Here is a 23965-nt window from a genome sequence, read left to right on the forward strand (position 1 = left end):
TTTAGTACAGATGCTTTTTTTTCCCTGAATATCTCAATCTGCAGTTGGTTGAATCCAAGGATGAGGAGCCCATAGATAATGAGGGTCAATTGTACTTAGCATCCTTAGTGAGGCCCCTATATTCATTGCTCATTAGCAGTCTTTGATTAAGTATAACGCCAAAGTTAGAGGATTTCTGAAGCTTGGAAAGTTTGTTATGGGGAAATTTATCAAATATAAATTAAGGCATCAATTCAGTTGTTTCTGGAAATCTTAGGAGACCTAAGTGATATCTCTAAAGTTATTATAAATTATAAGAGGGGAAGAAGTGTTACTAATAAAAAGTTATTCATTTTAGGTTATATTTATCATATTTACAATATCATTGAGCTGTATTTTTTATGGAACATCAGGATGGAAGGGACTTCAAAGATTATTTAGTATAACTGCACTTCTGCTTTCTTCTTTTTTATACCACTGTTGATGAGGAACGGTCTCTGTTTATTCCCGCTCAGTGAAAAAATTTTACCTTAGTTATAGTATATTGTGTTTATTGCATATAGTTTATATTGTTTATATTGCATATAGTCTGGAAATATATACACATAAATACACTATGATAATAGGGTTTTATAGGGTTATTGTATCTTGATATTTAGGACAAAATTAGGGTCCTTTTAGTGACTGATTTGATGTTGCTTCCTGGGTCAGGAACACCCTCAGCAGTTACAGTGTTTTTTTCTGTGACAAAATGAGAGCAAGCCATTTTAGGATGAGTTCAATATATTCAATTCAATGAACATTTTTTGTGTGGTGGCAAAATTGGATTTGGCAGTTCTATAAATTGCAAGGGTTAGATTTCTGAAAACTGCCCTGATAGGAGAATGTGGTACAGAAATTTAGCACCGGGTAGAGTTTAGAGGACGTGTTATGTGAACCAGTAGGAGACTTTTAGAATTATTCTGGATTCACCAAAATGCCACAATAAAATTGGTACATGATAAAGAGTAATGAGTACCGTTCTATAGGACCTAATTCCTTTTCAACAGTTCTAACATCCACAGCACTCTGAAACCCAAAACTTTTTCTGTGTGTTTGGTACAAATTGATTTTTTCACAAAATCTGTTCTGAACTGTTCTCTTTATTTCATATATTTAAAGGTTTCATTGTGGAAATAGCAAATGTTTGATTATAGTGTGCTGTCCTAGGCTTCTCTGTACTATCCCAGCCTTCTCTAGAGGTGGTGTTAAATATATGGTGTATACCCACTGTATCACCTGTCAAAAATCTCTAGACATTCTGAATTCTAAGACATGTTTGACTGCCAGAATGCTGGAAAACAAACTATGGACCTGCAGCAACCCCTTAATAGAAACTATTCCATATCTTACTTCTCTGAGGTGGAGTTTCAGTAAGGTGCTAGTAAATTTCTTCTGCCTTTTTTCTTGTAAATATATAAATGCAAAGTGGCATTTTATTTGAATCTGTGTTAGTTTCTTTAACAGTTGTTGAAAACTCTCCTGGGTTTTTGATACTAAGTTATTAACTCTGGTCCTGTGGGTCCCACTGTAGTTCCAGAAGCGTTGTGTAATTAGGATGCTTGAGACGGAAAATGTTTTGGGTAACTTTGGCATGACTGAGTATTCATCAAACACTCTTTTTAGTCCTTGGGGTTACATAATTTTACCTTTGCACATGATAACTTCATGCCAAAGCGCCTACAGGCAGCCCTCTCTTTTACATATCTTGGCTTACTTTTTTAATAATAGAAAGAAGCAGGGGTGTGGTTGCAATCCCTCTGTTTTAGTTTCCTTAAACTTCCTTAATTTGTTTTTAAGACTTCGTTTCAAGTATATTTATATCTGCTTTGGCTTATTCTTATTTTTTGCCTCCGGTTCCTATTCCCATACTTTGTGGTTCTTCTCATTTCTTTTCCTCTTCCTCCTCCTCCCCCACTGTAAGATAATATTCCTCAAGAAGAAAAACTTATAGTTATCGTATTCTGTATCAGAAAAATTTTCTGCCTGCCAGAAAGGTGACAAATAAATCTGTATATTTTAGTATTATAGTTTTCTGAAGAGGACCTTGTTTTAAGGGAATGGTTATTGTACTTCTTGTGCAGAGGTAGTGTTCTGTGTATGTGGTCTCTTTTCTTTCCATCCTTAAACACTGAAGGATAATGGGTGGGGGGGAGCACTGGTGTTATATGCTTTTTAAGCTGTGTTTTCAAGTTCAGCAAGATACCAGGCACTCTCTAGATCCTAATAGGAGCATGTGAACCTTATAGGTAGCCATTCTTCTCCACCTCAAGAATAAGATTTAAAACTTAACACAGTTAGGTTATATGCACTGGCTTTGTGCTCGGAAAGCACTATAATTCTATTGTAGTTCGTATCATATTTTCTGTTGTTGCTCATTTAAACTATGTGATGTCAGACAGGTTGTCTTGTTTGCCATTTGTATTTCCTGCCTTTAGCACATAATAGGTCTTTAATGATCACTTATTTGTTGAATGGATTGTTTCTGTCTTTTTTTTTTTTAATTAGGGAGAATGTTAACATGGGAGAGCCTTGATTAAACGCCTTGCAAGGCACCAAGCTTGTCCTACACCAGTTGTTTGCATTTTTTTTTTTTTTTGAGACGGAGTCTCACTCTGTCGCCCAGGTTGGAGTGCAGTGGTGCGATCTCGGCTCACTACAACCTCTGTCTCCGGGTTCAAGCACTTCTTCTGTCTCAGCCTCTCAAGTAGCTGGGATTATAGGCGTGTGCCACCACGCCCCGCTAGTTTTTGTATTTTCACCATGTTGACCAGGCTTGGTCTCAACTTCCTGACCTCAAGCGATCTGCCCACCTCGGCCTCCCAAAGTGTTGGGATTACAGGCGTGAGGCACCATGCCTGGCAGTTTGCATTGTTACAGTTGTATGAGACAATCTCAAACACACAAAGTGTTTCCAATTTAAATAAAATAATAAACACAAGCATCTGACTTAGCTGCTCAGGCTTAAAAGTAGAAATACTGGCTGGGCGCGGTGGCTTATGCCTGTAATCCCAGCACTTTGGGAGGCTGAGGCGGGCGGATCACGAGGTCAGGAGATCGAGACTGTCCTGGCTAACATGGTGAAACCCCGTCTCTACTAAAAAAACAAACAAAAAAATTAGTCGGGCGTGGTGGCGGGCGCCTGTAGTCTCAGCTACTTGGGAAGCTGAGGCAGGAGAACGGCATGAACCTGGGAGGCGGAGCTTGCAGTGAGCCAAGATCGCACCACTGCACTCCAGCTTGGGCGACAGAGCGAGACTCCGTCTCAAAAAAAAAAAAAAAAAAGTAGAAATACTTTATAGAAATATTTTTCATTTTATTTTTAGAGATAGGGTCTCACTCTGTTGCCCAGGCTGGGGTGCAGTGGCATAATCATGGCTCCCTGCAGCCTCAAACTGCTGGGCTCAGGTGATACTCCCATCTCAGCCCCCCACATTGCCAGGACTACAAGCATATGCCACCATGCCTGACTAATTTAATTTAATTTATTTATTATTATTATTTTTTTGTAGACACAGGGTCTTGGTATATTGCCCAGGCTGGTCTTGAGCTGGCCTCAAGTGATCCTCCTACTCTGGCCTCCCAAGGTGTTGGGATGACAGGCATGAGCCACCAGCCTAGAAATCAATTTTTTTTTAAATGGCAGAAGTTAAAATTAAAATTAAATTTATTAGTGGGTGGCCAGACAGTTTTGTTAAAGGAAATATTCTCTTTTTTTTTAGCATTTCAATTAGTTATGATTTTAAGATATTTTTATATTAAATAGTTTTTCTCTCTAAAATTCACTCTGCCAATAATCAAAACACAAAAACAGTTCTATCACCCCTTAAAATTCCCCTTGCAGTCAACTTCTCCCACTCCTAGCAGCCACTGATTTGTTTTCTCTTTCTATAATTTTGCTTTTTCTAGAATATCATATAAATTGAAACATGTGTTATATAACCTTTTGATTCTGGCTTCTTTCACTTTGCAGAATGCATTTGAGAATCATCTATATTGTAGCGAGTGTCAGTGGTTTCTTTTTACTGCTGAGCAATATTCCATTGTATGGATGTACCTCACCACATTTATCTATTTGCCCATTAAGAAATGTTTCATTCATGTACAGATTGTGTGTGTGTGTGTGTGTGTGTGTGTGTGTGTGTGTGTGTATGAACATAATTTTTTTTTCCTTGAGTATGATCCTAAAGTTGGGATTGTTGGGTCATATGGCAAGTGTGTGTTTAACTTTGTAAGAAACTGCCAAACTATTTTTCAAAGTGGCAGTACCATTTTTATTCCCACTGGCAATATAGAAGAGTTCTAGTAGTAAGCAGTTCTAAAATTCAAGTTGGCTGTATTGAATCACTTTGATTTGTTAGCTTGATTGCACACCAGCAATATTGGGACAGTAATATCCTGAATGTGATATTTTCATTGCTATAGCTCTGTCATTTAGAAATAGTGATTTACGGGAGCCTCATTTTTCAATGAATGCAATCTTCATTGTGTTCTGGAACTATTATTTCTTGTTCAAGTAATGTAGCCCTGATCTCTAGGAGAAAAACTAGGCTTTTAAAACCTTGTGTTCATTTTGGGGTTTAAGGTACCTTTGGGTCAATTCTCAGTCTCTATCTTAAGGCTTTCATAGTTTGGAGGAAGAAGTCTCTTGATTTAGCTGGGCAGAAGGAAGTCCTATCTCCAGAGCAGTAGTAGTACTTTCAGCTTGTTTCTATTTTTCAGCTTGTTTCTATTTCAGCTTGCACATTTCATTCTAGAATTTTGAAGTTGTTAACTTATAATTTACAATCAGTTATACTACTAAGTCTGTTCTATGAGGAGAGTTGACACATACTTACCCAAACATCATTACTCTCAAATAAGCCTTTTAAATTTGTGGCCTTTGCATATACTAGTCTATGTATTAGTAGTTATATATTTTTGTAAGTTAGAATATTTCGCTGTAGTTGAGAAGAACGAATATAACTGTTATGAGAACCATGTGTGATACAACCACTGACTTTTCTGGATGTACTTTCTCATTTAGTTAGCATTATAGGGAATGACCTGATAGATAAATTAGAAATACTGAAGCATACCCTTTTACCAAAATATATTTTATTTTAGGTTTTTTTCTTTTAATGACAAACTTTACAAAGTAGTACTGTTTTCTCCGTGTTTTCTAACATATTCAAATCTTTTCTTGTTAGTTTAGGGCTCTCATTCTGAACCTCAGCTATAAAGTGCTGTTATGCAGAGATGTCTGTAAATCTATTGATGAGGATAAAGTTGTTTGTCTTCCTTGTTCTCAGTCATAATTTTACTAGTCACTTCAGTTTTTCCCTTTTAATTTGTATTCTATTATAAACTTATTAGAATTATTTAAAAATGAAAGTATCTGACTCAAGTGGAATTTAGAGGCTCTTATTGTTTAATGAAGAGAATATGCATTTTGTGACCTCCTTTAGTGAATTTCTTTTTCTTCTGGCTCATAGCTTTGTTTTGAAGAGTTGAAATCACTGTGTAAATGACCTTTGATTTGTGGAGTGTTATTCCACCTGTAGTATCTCTTAGAGCTATAAATTGCCTGCCTGCCCATAACTTTCTCTTTCCTCTTCTATTTGAAAAAGTGATGATCATATAAATTAACATTCTTAAATTTCTAAGAGGTTGTTCATTCATTTATTCACTTATTTATTTAAGGAACTTTTAATCAATGTTGACTGCTATGTGTTATAGTAGGTATTAGGGAGACAGAATTGAATAAAATGACTTTTTTTCCTTGAGGACATCAGATTAACAAATGGAGTATCTTAAGGTTAAAGAGTGAAAACATTGTCCCATATCTTTCCTCTAAATCGGTAGTGAGGTGTAGAGGTTTGATCAATTTCAATTATTTTTTCTTCCATTGGGAAGATCAAAAGTTGTCTTTCTTTTTGGAATGTTAGCAGTCATTGATGATCCTTGCCTAGTCCATTAATTTACTAAGAGTTGTGTAATGGTTATAATTTAGTTGTCATTTCTTATTCATTTATTAGCTAGATTACTTTTTAAGAGAAAATCCCCCTCACCAATTAGAATTTATTCTCATTATTCATAGATTCCATATTTGTAAATTTACTTGCTTGCTAAAATTTATTTGTAACCCTAAACTCAGTAATCCCAGTCATTCACAGACACGTACATACACAGAGTGGCAAAAATTTTGAGTCACCCAATGTGCGTGTTCCCAGTTGACGTTGAATAAAGTGATTCTCTGCTTTCTGAAGAAGAGTTTGCTTTTTGCAAGCTATTTATTAACTTTTTCCTGGTGATTTCACTGTTTAAAATGGCCCCCAAGCTTAGGGCTGATGTGCTGCTGCCTAGTGGTCCTAAGTGCAAGAGAGGTGTGATAAGCCTTATGGAAAAAATTCATGTGTTAAATAAACTGAGTTCAGGCATGAGTATAATGCTGTTGGCTATTAGTGCAATGTTAATGAATCAGAGATGTGTATTAAATAAGGTGTCTTGAAAGAGAAACATACAAAAAACAAAGTTACGTATTGATTGGTTGATGAAAATCTTGTGACCAGAGGCTGGCGGAACATAACTCTGTATTTATCCTGGAAGCAGTGGTTCAGTATTTGCAGTGACTTTATAAAACATAACTGCTAATAAATCAGCTGTTTTTTTGGTTTTCCTGAGATGAAAGAACATTCTTTTAAATCAGTATTAAAAATGTACTACAGAAAGTTGTGGGTAATGGAAGTAGATAGATCATTAAGAGTCCTGATGAGATCTTTTTGGGGGCAAGTTGTTCATCACTGTATTTCTAGCACCTAGACCTGTACCTGTGTCTGGTGCATGGTAAGTACTCAGTAAATATTTGTTGAATGAAAATAAGCATCCCAAAATTTCCTTGATGGCTTGCAGTTTAAATTTTATGGCATTGTTAGGATTAGGGTTTGCAGTGAAATTTCTGATTTTAGATAGTAAGATGACCTGCTCACGGAGGTTGGTATGGTGAATATTTCGGTAATAAAAATTTAGCATGACCTCGTCTTGAGTTTTGATTCCTGTCATTCTTAAAGATGAAGGTGCTCTTTGCTTTTCTGGGTTTAGGTACAGTAAATGCTTAGGAGGGTGTGCATTTTCAAATTAGATATTTCTGCTGGGTGTGGTGGCTCATACTTACATGAGCACTTTGGGAGACCAAGGCAGGCAGATTGCATGAGCTCAGAAGTTTGAGACCAGCCTGGGCAACATGGCAAAACCCTGTCTCTACAAAAAATACAAAAATTAGCCTCGTGTAGTGGCATGCACCTGTAGTCCCAGCTATTTTGAGATGTGTTCGGGCCACTGCACTCCAGCCTGGGTGACAAAGTGAGACCCTGTCTCAAAAAAAAAAAAAATCATAAATTAAATATTTCCTCCCCTTCCAACTATTGAGACATATGGGCTATGATAAAGGGTATTACAAATGGGAGTGTAAATTCACTTGTGAAATTGAGAATAGAAGGCATAAAAAGACATTTTGAGGACCTATGAAACGGTCGTATTGTAGTTACTGGAGAACAGTGAGAGCTGAATAATTAGACTATTAATTTAATTAGACTTCCAGTAATATTTATACCTAGGAAATTTAGATTTTAATAAGGTTTCTCATTTAATAATTTATTTAATTGTAACTGATTATAATATAGTATGTTTTGATGATACTCCTGTGCCATAATACAGTAGCTTTTAAACTGTAGAAATGCTTTTTGATTACTGACCCAATGATACATGTACATTCATTTAAAGCCTACAAATCTTGTTAAACATGATTTATCCTTATTACATATGTACTTTCCATTTTCTTTCCTGTTTGGTACTATTTTATTAAAAAAACTGTTGTCTGAGACCCATTAAATTGATTAAGTGGCCCATTAATGGGCCCTGATCCACAGTTTGGAGAACATTGTTTAAACAAAACTGGGTGGTAATTTTTAAAAGCTAGAAATTCCTGGGTCTTAATAGGAATGTACAAAGATATCACTGAAATCAAGTTTCAAAACTGTAAAGTGTTGTAGATGATAGTTACTAAATCTTTCTGGGATAAAAAAAGTTTCTGTAGTATGTAATTTTAGAAATTGATATCCATTTTTGACATTACAGTTAATGATTTAGCTTTTAAAAATAAGTGTTTATTCTTTTCTTAGACAACCACAGTTGAGCTAATGCCAGAAACCAGTAACTGGGACACTTGCTGCTAATAGAAGCATGTGATGTAACGGCTAGCCTTCACATCACAAATATCTTTACTGATTTAAATTTTGGAGAAGGCTGAAGACATGTATTGTAATATAATTTTTATTGAGACTGAATAAAGCATTTGAAACACTGAATGAGTCGTTTCATATACTAAATTTGGAGGTTTTCATTTGAGATAACGAAGCAGTGGGAAATCAATTCTATGACAAGTAACATTTGACTATAAATTTTGATTTTTAAATTTCCATTTGTTGTAAATTTATACTTGTAAACAATATTGAATAACATGCTAAATATGAAAATATACCTATAGGAACTTTCAATACTTAATACCGATATGTTCTCAGACTACTTTCTCCTTAGACTTAAGTAGACTTAAGACTAAGACTTAAGACTTAGTTTGCAGTCTTAAGGAGGTCAGTTGGCTTTGTCAAGTCCTAAATTATTGGGCCATGCATATTAGAGAATCTGATTTTCTGTTCTGTGTTTTGTAGATTCATCAGTGGTCATCAAATTAGAAGTATGCCAGTGGCTGACATTTCTATTCATATAATCAGATTATGTCTAATGTTTTCTGTATTTAGCAGCTCATTTTTATCTTTATTAGTAGATATTACTATATCAAAATTGTAATTGTTTGTGAAAGCAAATAAATTATTTATATTCATTCTCAAAGATAATTTTTAAAAGCTTTCTTTTGAAGAATTCCTTTTGAATGTAGATATTTCAATAAGTTAGTAAACTGAGAATAATTACAGATTTGAAGTTGTAAATATTTTATTACCATTTATTCACACATGTAGTTTTATGCTACATTAAATGTATATCTGTTATTTTTAGTAGTAGATGGATTAAGGTTTCAGTTAAAGAGGCAATATCTCTTGTAAAAATAAAAATGTAGAGCAGTACAAGTAACTATGTTACAAAAAATTGTAAGCAGGGGGTATTTCTGTGAGTCTTCTCTCAGTAGTTTTTATTTTAATGGGTGCCTAATTTTTAAGTTTTCAAGATGCATTTTTCCATTCTCTTCCTGTAATTTTTGAATCTAAAGCTTCTGTGAGGGAAATTTTCAGTTTTTACCATTGACTGCATCTGCAGGTATAATACAATATTAAGATTACTCTTAATTTTTAAGAATATTTAGGTATTTTTAGCAACTGGTGTAATAGTAAGGTATTTTTAGCAACGGGTATAATTTTAATGTACACTCTGAATTTTGTAGCTAATTCTATTTCTAATCATATTTTTGTTTTTGCCTGACTACTATAAAGTGCAAAAATACATTTGCTTTGAATGGGTACTGAAACTCATGGTATATTAGTATTACATAGTTTTATTTCTAAGATCATTTTACTTCTCTGCTGATTTTTTTATGTAAATCTTTTCTTCATCCTTTTTGTAGTGCATGTATTACAAACTGCCCTAAATAATTTTTTATAACAAGGTTGGCTTTTAAATAAAGTGCTGATATTACTTAAGTTTTTAGGATAGATTGCTTCTAAGAATATATTTATAAAGCAATTCAGTGAGAAAATAACAGTATTCTTTTCAGTGGTTCTTAACTTTTTTTTAAGATCACATAATCTTTTGATATCAAACCTGTTGAAAACTGTGGTTTTCTCTTTAGAAAATTCTCAGGAAGTGTATGGATTTCATGTTAAGAACTCCACAGCTGTCTCCACTATTATTGATGGCGTCTGTTTTCATTAAAAGTAAGCAAACAAAAGCAAAAACTGATTTGTAGAGGCACTTAATACTTTGTACTGTTAAATTTTTTGAAATATTCTTCTCAAATTTCACAGTGTTTTTTAGTTATCTTTAGGATGCAAGTTACTCGTTTGTTGATAGTAGAATTAATAGGTCTATTAAATTAATGCCCGTATGTGGAAAAGAAATATAAGCAATAGTCTCTTGCCCTTTATTTCTAGTCTTTGAATTTTTCAGTAGATAGAACCAGTTTTAGTTATTTTAGTTTTAAATGCTTCAGGTGGTTACTTTTATGAATTCTAAATAATAAGCATACACTTTTCTCTTTGATACTATGTCAAATTTTTGTATTATCTTTTAATTCTCCACTAAGGATGAAATTTAACTCACATACTCCCAGTTTCCCTTCTGTCTTTAAATTTTTGGGTAGTTATTAAGTTTACTTAATCTATTACTTACCATTGACACTTTAAATAATGTTCTTACATCTCTATTTCTTGTTTTAGTAAATTTTTAGGTTATCTCTTAACTCTGTACTTTGCAGGATGTGGATATTCTTGCCCCGTCCTTCCTTTTACCTTACCTATTTCCCATTAACAGCTGAGCTTCTGTCAGTTTCAATTGTAGTATTATTTTAACACTGTCAAGGTTGGTTAAATTTATATTTTTACAGGACTTTTATCTTGCATTTTTTCTTTTTGCTAAGATTGAATTTAAAAGTTGAAAATCAGTTATCTATCGTACGGTATTATGACAAGCTTTTGAATCAAGTAGTATGATAGAGTTGCTTTTCTTTCCTTCTTAACCTTCTGAGGTCCCTTTTGGCCCCAGCTTAGGAAAATTTTCTTTTATGATTTCTTTTTCTTAATTTTCTCTGTCCTCCCTATTAATTTTTATTATTAGTTGGAAGTTGGAGGTATTGGATTGTTTCCGTCTTTTTTTCTTTATTTTTTAATGTCTTTATATTTTTGTTTTAAATATTAGGATTATTCCCCCACTTTGTTCTTGTTTATTCCATTTAATGCAGCATTATTTTCTTATATATTTATGTGTTATTATACTTCTCAAAAGCCCTTGGGGGCTAATTGTTTCAATTTTTGCTGCTGTTTTTAAAGTAAGTTCTCTTCTGTTCTTCATATGATCTGCTTCCCCCAGAGGTTTTTTCTTTTTTTTATTTTTTATTTTTTGGAAGAGGGTGTTTTTCATATTGTTAGCTTTCCTGATGTATCTAGTGGTGCTTGATTGTCAGTTTATATTTGTGATTGAGGGACTAGGCTAATATTTCTGGGTAAATGCTTTAGGTTTCTTTTGCTGTTCTGTTTTCTCTGCTGTTTTTTTTCTTCATAAAATTCTTGGGATCCTGTGCACGGATGGGGTTTATTGACTAGAAATGTTTAGAGATAGAAAGAACTCATTTATTCATCTACAGTATGTATTAACTGTCCTAGGTGTCAGGCAGTGTGCTAGGTTCAGGGATCATAAAGTTACGTATACTAGAGCCCTTGTCATCAAATACGACAGGCAATTATAAAACTGCATATTATATAAGAATACCCTTAGAAATTTCCAAGTCTAATCCTTCTATTTTATAATTATTAAAATGAGCTTAGACAGATTAAGTGTCTTGCTCAATGCTGTACAACTACATAGGAGCTAAATGGGATTCTAGGACTACTTTTGTTTAATTCTATGTTCTTTATAATATAAAGAGGTCTGGAAGCAGCTATCAAGGATTCCAAGACCTGGGAGAATTGGTGTGTTGGAGCAGGATACAAAGCTTGGGACTTAGGTATAAGAGAAGGTTATGCTACCTTATATAATACTCAGTCTTAGAAAATCAGAGCTAGAGATTTTTCTTGAGGGCTTGAAGAAATAAGCGGCCATTTTGGAGAAGCCCACATGGCAAACTATAGGTAGCTTCTAGAAACTCTAGGCAACCTCTAGAAACTGAGGGTGGCTTCCATCTGACAGCCAGCAAAAAGCTGGGGCTCTCAGTTATACACTGCAAGCATATGAATTCTGCCCACAGTCTGAAGGAGCTTGGAAGAGGATTTTTTCCCCACTTGAACCTCCAGATGAGAAAGTGTCTAGCCAATACCTTGAATACAGCCTGAGTAGATCACTTAGCTAAGCTGTGCCCAGGCTTTGATCCACAGAGACTGCGAGATAATGTTTGTGTTGTTTTAAACCTCTAAGATTTTAATAAGTTGTAACACAGTAATAGAAAACTAATACATTTGGTCATGTCCAAGTGTGTTGTGTTGTTCAGCATAGTGCCATTGTATAATAAACACAATGCTTTCTCATCTAATTTGAGAACGAATAACTCCATTGTGCTTTAAAAGCACGACCGTGAAAGTCCACTTTCTCTATTGGTTTTGACATGATCCATATGCATTGGTAATAAAAAATAAGTACGATGTAGCGGTAGGTTATGTGTGTGGCACTACTGTCAAGTTATAACTGTGCCACTGCTATGATTCTCTGAGCAGCAGTGTGAAGTGATAAGAGCACCACATATGGTCTCTGTCACAACTATTCAACTCTTCTCTTGTAGCGCAAAAGCATCCATAACAACATGTAAACAAATTAGCGTGGATTCCTATACCATTTTATTTATGAAGACTAAACTTGGATTTCTTATCATTGTCGCATGTTATAAAATATTATTATTCTTATAATCCCCCACCCCCAACTATGTAAAAATGTAAAGACTATTCGTAGGTCTAAGGTTCTATAAAAATAGGCAAATAGCTTGCAGGCTGTAGTTTCATGACTCCTGGTATAGAGAAACATGTAGGCAATTCTAATACTGCTTGATAGGTGCTATGGTAGGGAAAATACTATAACATACTAAGACTCTTACTAAGAAAATATTTTAATTAAAATTCTAATTTGTTAAAAGTATTTTTGAAAAGTAAAAAAATACATTATTACAAGTTTATGAACAGTTACCTGAATGTACTAAACTAGATGGAATAAAATAGGAAATGGCTTAGTTTCTCCCTAACCACTGTTGTCATCTACATCTTTTATTATTTTCACTTCTTGACTCATGAATGATATCCTAGTCCATTTTCACTGATTTCTTGTCATGTATCTTTATAAGAATAGTTCTGTTTTCTCAATGGATTGCTTTTCAGATATCAAAATGACCCGTTCAAATTTTGATGTTCAATTTTAAGCTAACTCATCACTTCTTTCTGCCTCTCTCTCCCTCCTAGTTTCAGACTTGGCACTTGACTCTGGATCCTCTTTTGAGGAAGGGAAGTAGTTGTTGTTTCTTCATTCTTCTTTCTTGCATTCTCCCATTCATTAGCTGCCCCTTGCTCCTCTAGGGTTCATGTCAGGGGAAGGAATAGGAAAGGGAAAAGGCAAAAGTCCTTTATGTGCTTTTAAATGCTTTTATTGTGGAACAGTTTTGGTTCTCCAGAGGCTTCATATGGACCTCTTATGTAAAATGAACCAATCCACCTACACATATTTCTGTACATAAGTATTTATATGCATGCACAAGCATTAAAAGCTTTGGAGCATACACATCAAATGAAAAGTAATGATTCTCTCTGACAAGGGCAGGTGGGATGGAAGACAAGGGGTATGGATATCCCAAGGGATATTTTTACTTCATTGTAATACTGGAATTCTTATTACATGTAGCATACTTTTTTTGATATTTGATTAATTAAACATAAATAAAAAGCTATATATTTAAAATAACATGAAAATTTGCCAAAAGAAAATTATTTCCTTCTAAATTGAAAAAATATGAAGGGCTTTTTTTTTTTTTTTAAAAAAAAAAGCTTCTTAAAGCTAGATAGGAGGAATTAGTTCTAGTTTTCCATACCACTGTAGGGGGACTATAGTTAACAGTAATGCATAGTTTCAAATAGCTAGAAGGAGTATATTGAATGTTCCCAACACAAATAAATCATAAATGTTTGAGATGATGCCTATGCTAATTACTCTGATGTGATCACTATATAGTATGTGTATTGAAACATCACCATGTACCCCATAAATATGTACAATTATATGTCAAATAAAACTTCTAAAATAAAATATTAAGTTCATTAATTGTTAAAAAAGTGGCATTAGAAGAAGAAATAATCCTATTAGTGGGCAAAGGACATGAATAGACATTTTTCAAAAGAAGATACACACATGGCCAATGGCATAATAAAAAATATTCAGCATCACAAATCATCAGGGAAATGCAAATTAAAACCACAATGAGATATCATCTTTCTTCAATCATAATGACTGTTACTAAAAAGACAAAAAATCACAGATGTTGGCGAGGATACAGAGAAAAGGGAACTCCTATACACTGTTGGTGGGAATGTAAATTAGTACAACCTATATGGAAAACAGTATGGAGACTTCTCAAATAACTGAAAATAGAACTACCACTGGATCCAGCAATCTCACTACTGGGTATCTACCCAAAGGAAGAGAAATCCACATGTCAAAAAGATGCTTGCACTCCTACATTTATGGCAGCACTGTTCACAATAGCAAAGATATAGAATCAACCTAAGTGCCCATCAAAGGATGAATGTGTAAAGAAAATGTAGTATATATACATAATAGAATACTATTCAGCCATAAGAAAGAGTGAATCATGTCTTTTGCAGCAACATGGATAGAACTGGAGGTCATTATCTTAAGCTAGGAACAGAAAGTCAGATATCACATGTTCTCACTTCTAAGTGGGTACTAAAAATGTTTATACATGGACTTAGAGAGTGGAATGATAGACAGTGGAGACTTGGAAGGGTGAGGGGGTGGGAGGGAGTGGGATGATGAGAAACTAATTAGTGGGCACAATGTACATGTTTTGGGTGATGGTAAAAGCCCTGAGGTTGACCATATGCAATCTATGTATGTAACAAAATTGTATATGTACCCCATAGATTTGTACAAAACGTAGCATAAAAGCTAAGTTTTATAGTAATGGTGTGCTGGGGAAAACATACATGTTGAGATGAAACACGCAGTTTTTTATGTGTGTATGGGGGCAGTTGTTTTTAAAAATCATATTTTGAGATGCAATTTACATACAATGCATAGATTTTAAATATAGTTTGATGAGTTTTGGCAAATGTATGTATCCATGTATTTCCTCCCAATTAAGATATAGAACATTTCTTTCCTGCAGAAAGTTTCCTCATGACATTTTACAGTCAAATTTCCTACCACCCTACTTAACCGCTGATAGGATTTCTATCACCACAGCTTAGTTTTGCTGGTTCTAGAGCCAAATATAACTAGAATCATGTAATAGGTAATTGTTTATGCCTGACTTCTTTTCCTCAGTCTAATATCTGAGAAATTCACCATATTGTTGCATGTATCAGCAGTTCGTTCCTTTTTAATGCTGAGTAGTCATCTATTATATGACTATACCAATTTGTTTATTCTTCTGTTAATGCACATTTGGATTGTTTCCAATTTTTGACTATTACTATAAGTGAGGCTGCTGTAAACATTAGTGTACAAGTCTTTTTGTAAACATACATTTTTATTTCCTTGGGTAAACATCTAAGAGTGGCATTGCTAGGTCATAGGATAGGTGTATATTTTACTTTATAAGAAACTGTCAACCTTTTTTCCAAAGTCATACTATTTTTTACTCCCACCAGCACTTTTTTGAGAGTTCCAGTTCTTCATTCTTACCAACACTTGATATTGTCAGTCTTTTAAATGTTAGCTATTTTAATGGGTGTGAAATGGTATTTCATTATGGTTTTAATTTATGTTTGCATGACAAGTAATGATACTGAGCAGTGCTTCATATGCTTTGTGGCAATTTGTATATATTCTTTGTGAAAAGAGTCTATTCAGATCGTTTCTATATTTAAAAAAATGCAGTTGTTCAGTGAGAACACATGGACACAGGGAGGGGAATATCACACACTGGGGCCTGTCGGGGAGTGGGGAGCTAGGAGAGGGATAGCATTAGGAGAAATACCTAATGTAGATTACGGTTTGATGGGTGCAGCATACCACCATGGCGCATGTATACCTGTGTAACAAACCTGCACGTTCTGCACATGTATCCCAGAACTTAAAGTATAATAATTTTTTTAAAAGTTGTTTTTCTTATTGTTCAGTTGCAGCGTATTTATACACACTCATATAAAATAATTTAGCCCATTTGGAAGTGTTTGTATTTGTTTTTTAAAGCTATCATTTGATGAGAAATGATTAATTTTGATGACTATTAAGATTTTTAATGATTAGTGATTTTAGCGTCTTCTAAGAAATTTTTACTTACCTTAAGATAGCAAAGATACCCCTCTTTATGGTTCTGGTATTTGTATTTAGGTTTATGATCCATTTCAAATTATTATTTTTTAAAAATGCATTTTTGTAGAGACGGGGTTTTGCTTTGTTTCTCAGCCTGGCCTGGCCTCAAGCAATCCTCCAGGCTTTGCCTTCCAAAGTACTGGAGTTATAGGCATGAGCCACCACGCCTGGTTGTGGGTTGAATTTTGTCAAACGTAATCTCTTGTCTGTAGAAATGATCTCATTGGGCTGTAATGCCAGCACTTTGAGAGGCTGAGGCGGGTATATTGCTTGAGCCTGGGGGTTTGAGACCAGCCTGGGCAACATGGCAAACCTTGACTGTACAAAAAAATAAATTAGCTGAGTGTGGTGGTGTGTGTCTGTGGTCTCAGCTACTCGGGAGGCTGGGGTGGGAAAATCACCAGAGCCTGAGCAAGTCAAGGCTGCAGTGAGCTGTGATTGTGTTAATGCACTCCAGCCTGGGTGAAAGAGCAGATTAAAAAAAAAAAAAAAAAAGATTATCCCTGTGGGTTTTCTTTTTTCTGTTAGTTTGGTAGTGCATTGATTTCAAATGTTAAGTCAGTGGTACATTTCTAGTATTAAACTCTGTTTGATTATTATTTGTTAAACTTTCTACATATTTGCTTATGTTGTGAAGAATTTTTGTATCTATGCTCATGAGAAATGCAGGTTTAATTTTCTTTGCTCGAATTGTTTTTGTCAGGCTTTTGTATTAGGATTGTGCTGATCTCACAAAGTAAATTGATTATTCCTGTGTCCTGAAAGAGCTTTAGAACAGTATTACTTTTTCCTAATATTTGATAAAATTTGCCAGTGAAATCATCTTTATGGGAATACTTTTTTTTAATAGATTAAGTTTTAAAAATAGATATGGAACTTTTGATATTTTGTTTTACCTTGTATCCCTGTGTTACATTTTTCAAGGGATTTGTCCATTTCATCTGTATTAAATTTATTGGCCTAAAGTTACTCATAGTCCTTTGTCCTTTAGTATTTATAGGATCATTTTGATATCCCTTCTTTCATTGTTCTTATTGGTAATTTGTATATTCTCTTTTGTTCTTGATCATTTTTGCTAAGAGTTAGAAATTTCGTTGACCTTTTTCAAAGAATCAGTTTTTGTCTTTATTTTTTCTGTTGTGTTCTATTTTCTGTTTTGTTGATTTTCCTCTCTGGATAATTTCTTTGGAAATTATTGACACTTTCTTCTGCTTTATCCAGTTTGCCACTGAGTGTATCTAGTGAAGTTTTTCATTTCAGATATGACAGTTTTTATTTGAGGGTCTCTTTTTTTTTCTGTTTTATTTTTCCGTTTATCAGCTGAGAATTCCTGTTTTTGCTCATTAAGACTACATTTTTTGCTCATTAAGACTATATTTTCCTATAAGTCTGTATTAGTGATAACTCTATTGAAGTACTTCCTCAACTCTTGTCTGATTTGCTCTTTTCTCTAGCTATTTTAAGAAGAAGGTCCAGATCACCGATTAAAAACTTTCTCTAATATAGGCATTTAAAGCTTCTAGTTTTCTGCTAAGCATTAGAATTGCAAATTAGATTTTTTTCTAATTTCTCTTGTGATTTTTTTTTCAACTCCTGAATTATTTAAATGTGTGTTTAATTTTCAAATTTTGGGACTCTTCTAGATGCTATACAGCTGTCGATTTCTAATTTAATTATTTTTTATTTTTTTGAGACAGTGTCTTGCTCTGCTGCCCAGGCTGCAGTGCAGTGACATGATCTTTGCTCATTGCAACCTCCGCCTCCCAGGTTCAATCGATTTTGCTGCCTCAGCCTCCCGAGCAGCTGGGACTACAGGCATGTGCCACCACGTCTGGCTAATTTTTGTATTTTTAACCATGTTTAACCATGTTGGCCAGGCTGGTCTCGAACTTCTGACCTCAAGTGATATATACCCACCTTGGCCTCCCAATGTGCTGGAATTACAGGCATGAGCCAACAAGTCTGGCGATTTCTAATTTAATTCTATTTTGACTAAATATACTCTGTAATATTTTAGTGACTTGAGATTTAAATTATAGCACAGCATATGATCTTTCTTGGTGAGCATTGAAAGGGAATTTTATTTTGCGGTATTTTATACATGGCAGTTAGCTCAAGGTAGTTGATGGTATTATCTAGATCTACCATATACATACTGATATTTTGTCTTATACCTTGTTGATTACTGAAATCATGCTATTAAAAAATTTGTAACAATGATTGCCTTTTTTCTTTTTAGTTTTGTTTTGCCTCGTTTTGCTCATTCATATTTATGGTTTTTATGTCTTTCTGTTGAATTGATATTTTTATCATTATGAAATGCACCTCTGTAAATTTGTAGATAATCCTTTGTTTTGATGTCCAGTTTGTATAATAATAATACAGCCTCACAAGCTTCTTATATGTGCTATTTACACAGTATATCTTTTTCTTTTATTTAACTTTCAGTCTATCTGTATAGTTGTATTTGTTCATTTATTTATTTTGAGACAGGGTCTCATTCTGCTGCCCAGGCTGGAGTGCAGTGGCACAATCTCAGCTCACTGCAACCTCTGCCTCCCAGGTTCAAGCCATTCTCCCACCTCAGCCTCCCAAGTAGCTGGGACTACAGGTGTGTGCCACCACTCCCAGCTTATTATTTTTGTATTTTTATTAGAGGCAGGCTCTCACCATGTTGCCCAGGCTGGTCTTGAACTCCTGAGGTCAAGCGAATCACCTACCTCTGCCTCCCAAAGTGCTGGGATTACAGTTGTGAGCCACTGCTGTGTCTTTGTATTTAAAATAGTTTCTTGTAAACAGTTTGTAGTTGAGTCTTGCTTTTTTATATAGTCTGACAATTTTTTTCTTTTTGGGGGAAAATCTGGTCTATTTCATTTTATGTATGTTTTAAAGTCCACTGTCTTGCTATTTGTTTTATCTTGTATGTCTTTTGTTTCTCTTCTGTTGTTTCAACCAAGTAATGTTTAGTCTTCCATTTTATTTCTTGTACTGTTTTTTTAGCTATTCCTATTGTAACTAATTTTTTATTGTTTGAACTAGGTATTAAAATGTGCGTTTTAACTTATCATTGGCTACCTAGAATGAATGTGGAACCACATAATTCTTCACAAATAGAATATTTTCCCCATCTGTTTTCTTTTTATATATTTGACAAATAAAAGTTATATATATTTATTGTGTAGAACATGATATTTTGAAATAAGTATACATTGTGGAATAGCTAAATAGAGCTAATTAACATATGCATTACCTTACTTTTTTTGTATGTGGTGAGAAGACTTAAAATCTTCTCTCAATAATTTTCAAGAAGGAATCTTAAAACAGTGTCGTTCCATTTACAACTCCCCCTCCTTGCCATTTATGTTGTCATATATTTTACTTCTACCTGTTATATATGACACTAAGAAATTGTTTATGCTTTAATAGTAATTTATCTTTAAAGGAAATTAATACTCATGCATTTCCTAGTTTCATTGCTCTTGATTTCTTCTTAAAGTTTCAAATTTCTATCTGATATTATGTGATTTACTTCAGCTTAAAGGACTATTTTAAAAGCATTTCTTGTTGTGCAGGTCTGCTGGCAACTAATTCTTAGCTTCCCTTCATCCAAAAATGGCTTTTTTTCTCCCTGTTTTGAAGAATAATATTACTGGATGTAGAATTCTGAATTGATCAACACCTGTGGCAAAAAGAGGGGAAAAATAATTCTAGGTTGAAAGTTTTTATTCCCCCTTTCATTGCTTTGAAAATATCCTTCCATTTTCTTTTGGGCCTCCATTGTTTTTGATAAGAAGTTAGTTCTGCTGTATGTCGTGTATTTTTTTCTCTCTCTGCTTTCAAGATTTTTCAAATTTTTGGATTTTAGCAGTTTGTGATATGCCTAGATTTAGTGTGTGTGTGTGTGTGTGTGTGTGTGTGTGTGTGTGTTTACCAAATTTGGGGAGTTTTTAGCTATTATTCGTTTTTTTTTTTTCCGCCCTCTTCTTTTTCTCTGGTTAAATAGGACTCTAACAGCTATTTACTAGTGTTAAAGTCGTATCTTCTAATTCAAACATCAGGGTCATCTTGGAGTCTGTCTCCTGTGACAGCTTTGTTTCTTGACCATGGGTTACATTTGATGCTGCTTTACATGTTTGGTAATTTTTAGTTGTGTCATGGATATTGGAAATTCTGTGTTGTTGAGAGTCTGGCTTTTTGTCTTTTTGAGACTTGAGTTTTGTTCTGGAATGCAGTTAATGTGCTCAGAGCTACTCTGAATCCTATCTAGGTTTAGTTTTAGACTTCAGTTGGGACAGTCTAGAGTAGGCCTTATGTCGGGTATGGTCCTTACTTTTAAGAGTTTTTGTGGCCTCTGAGCTGAATGCCTGGGATATTAGTGAGGTTCTTCTGCTATGACTGAATAGGAACTTTAGAGTCTCTCAGTTCTGTGCAGCTTCTAGTGTCTCCATTCTTCATTTAACACTGTAGTAACTATTTTCTGTTCGGTTTTTTTAGACTATTCCCTTGTACACATGTAGCCTAGCCTTCTGCCCTACCACCACCTTACCGCACCACTCCACTGCAAAACTCCTTCATTTTTGATACTGTGTACTACAAATTCCATTTACTTCAACAGCTGCAAATTCTGATCTGTGATCACTGTGTGTTGCCTGAGCCTCACCTCTTTGTGCTGTGGTCAGGAAATTGCTCCTAGCCAGAGAGCTTGGATGAAGGTGCGACTCACCTTTTGTGTTTTTTCTAAGGGATCACAGTCTGTGCTGCCTTTTATTTGATGCTTAAAAACAGGTGCTTCATATGTTTTGTCCAGCTTTCTACTTGTTTACAACAGGCAGAGATGTTCAGTATAGTTACTCTGTCATGGCTAGAAGCAGAGTAAACAGGAACTCAGTTTCATCTGCAAATAAGAATATGGCAAATAAAACAAGAAACTTCATAAATAGATTGGGTGTTAGGACTAATGGTGGAATCCTAATTAGGGAAAAGGAGTCAGGCTGGTGGGAGCAGGGGAGCATAAAAAGAAAAAACAGATAAACTGTAAGTCTGCCTTTCTTCACAGTCCAGGACACATAGCCCTCCTGTGCAAAAATCTCACAGTCCTCCTGTGCAAAAAACTCACAGTCTTCCTATACGCAACTTATCACCAGACCCTCTGCTAATAGAAAAGTGCAGGTTAGCTCACTGCAACCTTGGCGTTACCAGTACTGCACATAGCCCTCTCCAGCACAAGAACGATCCTATAAAATCCCCACCAAGCCTTAGTCTCTTTTCAGTCAGCTCCTCTCTTGCTCATCTGCCCATTGCTTTCTTGCAAAGTGTTTTCCTACTTTTTCTAATAAGCCTGCCTTTCTTTACCAACTGTCTTGGTAAATTCCCTTATTGCCTACACCACCGGCCCCAGTTAGTCACTACTTGTAACAGTAATTGTATATTTGGGGGTTGCTGAAAATTAATCAGAAAATACTGTCCGTTTCAACCCTTTTTATGGTTGCATTATATAATTAGAAAATTTTTGTAATAGGAATAAGTATTTGATATCAATCCTTGTTTCTTCATTAGTGACTATATTTTGAATTTATAACTTCTTTAATAGCAACGAATGATAGCCCACTCAATTTGTTCAAACAAAAGTAGGGAAATCCTGTAAAGGTGCAGAATTACCACAGAATTAAGGTACATTTGATCACTGCAATTCCCAGAGACTATGAATGGGGCAGACTCTTCCAAAAGCCTTGAAAAATATTTTGAGCTTTAATGTTTTTATCTGCATGTTAGAAATTTAATACCTAATTTCTGCATCTGATAAGGTTGATGCCTGTCAACATTTCACAGTCTTGTGAAATTACATTTATGTTTTTAAGGCCCACGTTAAATGTTATATAAGAATTAATTGTTTTCTTTGAGGGGTGGGAAGAATGTTCTTGATATTGTCAGTTCTATGCTCCAATCCCATGTGTAATTATAAGGTAATACTTGAATAAATGAAAATCATATGATAATATATATTTAAAAAAGACTTTGAAAATTATTAAGTATATGAACATGGGGAATATATTTTTATTAAGGTATTTTATTTTTATAATTCATTCTCTTTCTACTTTTAAATTGAAAATCTTATGTTGACTTACTGGAATTTTTTGAGTACTTTTTGTCTAATTGAGGTAATTTTAAGTTGGGAGGTTTATATTAGTGAATGTATGTTGATTTATGAAACAGTATAATTTTGTTCCTTTAATTTTTAAGAAGTAATTGAATCCCTGATATCTTTGTTTCGTATCTTTGTTATTAAGGTATATAAATAAAGGGTAGTGGTTAATTTAAAAGTATACTGTGGTTTGATTTCAATGGGCATCAATAGATAGCAGTAATTCTTGCCTAAGCTTTTGTTATGTTATCTAATTTCCCAGACATATATTTTAAAATTCTTAGTTGACTAATTTCCTTTTCTTAATATTCTAGCTCTCTATCAATATCAGCTCACATCATTGAAAAGATAATTTTGAAGACATGTTTTGCTGAAAAGACACTAAGAAAAATTTTACGAATGGGATGAACATGCTCCAGTTAATTGACTACCTACTGCAATTTGAATGTTAACATTACCCATCTGGTACAGTTACCTAGTGATGTACCTATTTTCACAATACCCTGTTTCAGTGTGCTTGTCTTGATTAAAGAATTCAAAGTGGAGTACCGCAAACTTGATATGGAAAATAAAAAGAAAGACAAGGACAAATCAGATGATAGAATGGCACGACCTAGTGGTCGATCGGGACACAACACTCGAGGAACTGGGTCTTCATCGTCTGGAGTTTTAATGGTTGGACCTAACTTTAGAGTTGGAAAAAAAATTGGATGTGGCAATTTTGGAGAATTACGATTAGGTAAGACTATTTTGTTTATTCCATTATGTTAGAAACATTTTAAAAATTGGAAGATACTTTTTAATGAAAATGATTTAGTTATTTAATTGTTTAGTTGTTTAATGGTTGTGGTAATTTTAAAGAATAAAGATGTTGGAAATTTCTTTTGTAGTTGTATTTTCATGTGTAAGGAATTCCCTAGTATAGGAGTGTCTACTTTAGCCATCCAGAGATTGACTATCCAGATTATGAGAAAACAAACAATTAAATTAAAATAGCCCAGTAGGCTGAAATAGCTGCCAGTAAAGCCTTTGCAATGTTCTTTAGGAATGATATTTAGGCCACTTTTTCAGATTCAAAAATGTTTAGTAATTGATAACTTTTGGGGCATAGGTATGGCTTAAAGTCAAGTTAATATACTGAAACTGCATACAATTAATGAAATTTACATCATTGTAATTTAATTTTTTCCTTTTACCCTTCCTTCTGCCCCAAGTATGTTTGGGGTGGGGCTCAGGAGTCTATATTCTTAACAAGGGGCTCAGAGTATTGATTCAGGTTATTATAATTAGGCAAGTTTGGGAAACACTGGTCTAATTAAGCTTCCTAACTCTATATTCAAGGCAATTGGAACTCAGTGAGGGAAAATGAATTGTCAGATGTTCACAACAATTGAATAACAAGCTCAGGATCAAAATCTAGGTATTTTAACTTCCAGTACAGTAGTGATGTAGCTTTTCCATTGCAAAAAACTAAGAAGGAGGGTGTTATGGTTATAATGGTTGTATAGAAGTCAGTATTCAGGTACCAGGAGGGCTCTGGTCAGTGGACCACCAAGAGTGAACTTTAGATGTAAA

The 23965-nt window shown here is 34.4% G+C and overlaps 1 protein-coding gene across 59 annotated transcripts in view, besides 1 other annotated feature; it reads left to right on the plus strand.

Moving 5' to 3' along the window:
• The window catches only part of CSNK1G3 (casein kinase 1 gamma 3), a 104873-nt gene that overhangs the window by 10536 nt on the left and 70372 nt on the right, over positions 1 to 23965 (plus strand). For 30 of the 59 annotated variants that reach the window (XM_017009060.2, XM_047416765.1, XM_047416768.1 and 27 more), the window contains one exon: positions 22705 to 23129. The exons of 8 other annotated variants lie outside the window; for them this stretch is intronic. In XM_017009060.2, coding sequence (XP_016864549.1) covers positions 22952 to 23129 — 178 coding nt within the window. In that variant the 5' untranslated portion in view covers positions 22705 to 22951. Of the gene's footprint in view, positions 1 to 9701; positions 9942 to 20272; positions 20961 to 22704; positions 23130 to 23965 lie in introns of those variants that run through there. 21 more of the 59 variants (XM_017009059.2, XM_047416755.1, XM_047416763.1 and 18 more) reach the window with 8 other exon arrangements.
• Positions 3261 to 3448: a silencer, noted in NCBI's record as "fragment chr5:122861667-122861854 (GRCh37/hg19 assembly coordinates)". NCBI's record gives its function as "represses an EF-1alpha promoter that drives an FKBP-Casp9 reporter gene in an ReSE screen in K562 erythroleukemia cells {active_cell/tissue: K562}" and the evidence as "EXISTENCE:reporter gene assay evidence [ECO:0000049][PMID:32094911]".

Source organism: Homo sapiens, chromosome 5 (genome assembly GCF_000001405.40).
Source record: "Homo sapiens chromosome 5, GRCh38.p14 Primary Assembly".
In the NCBI taxonomy this organism is placed as follows: Eukaryota; Metazoa; Chordata; class Mammalia; order Primates; family Hominidae; genus Homo; species Homo sapiens.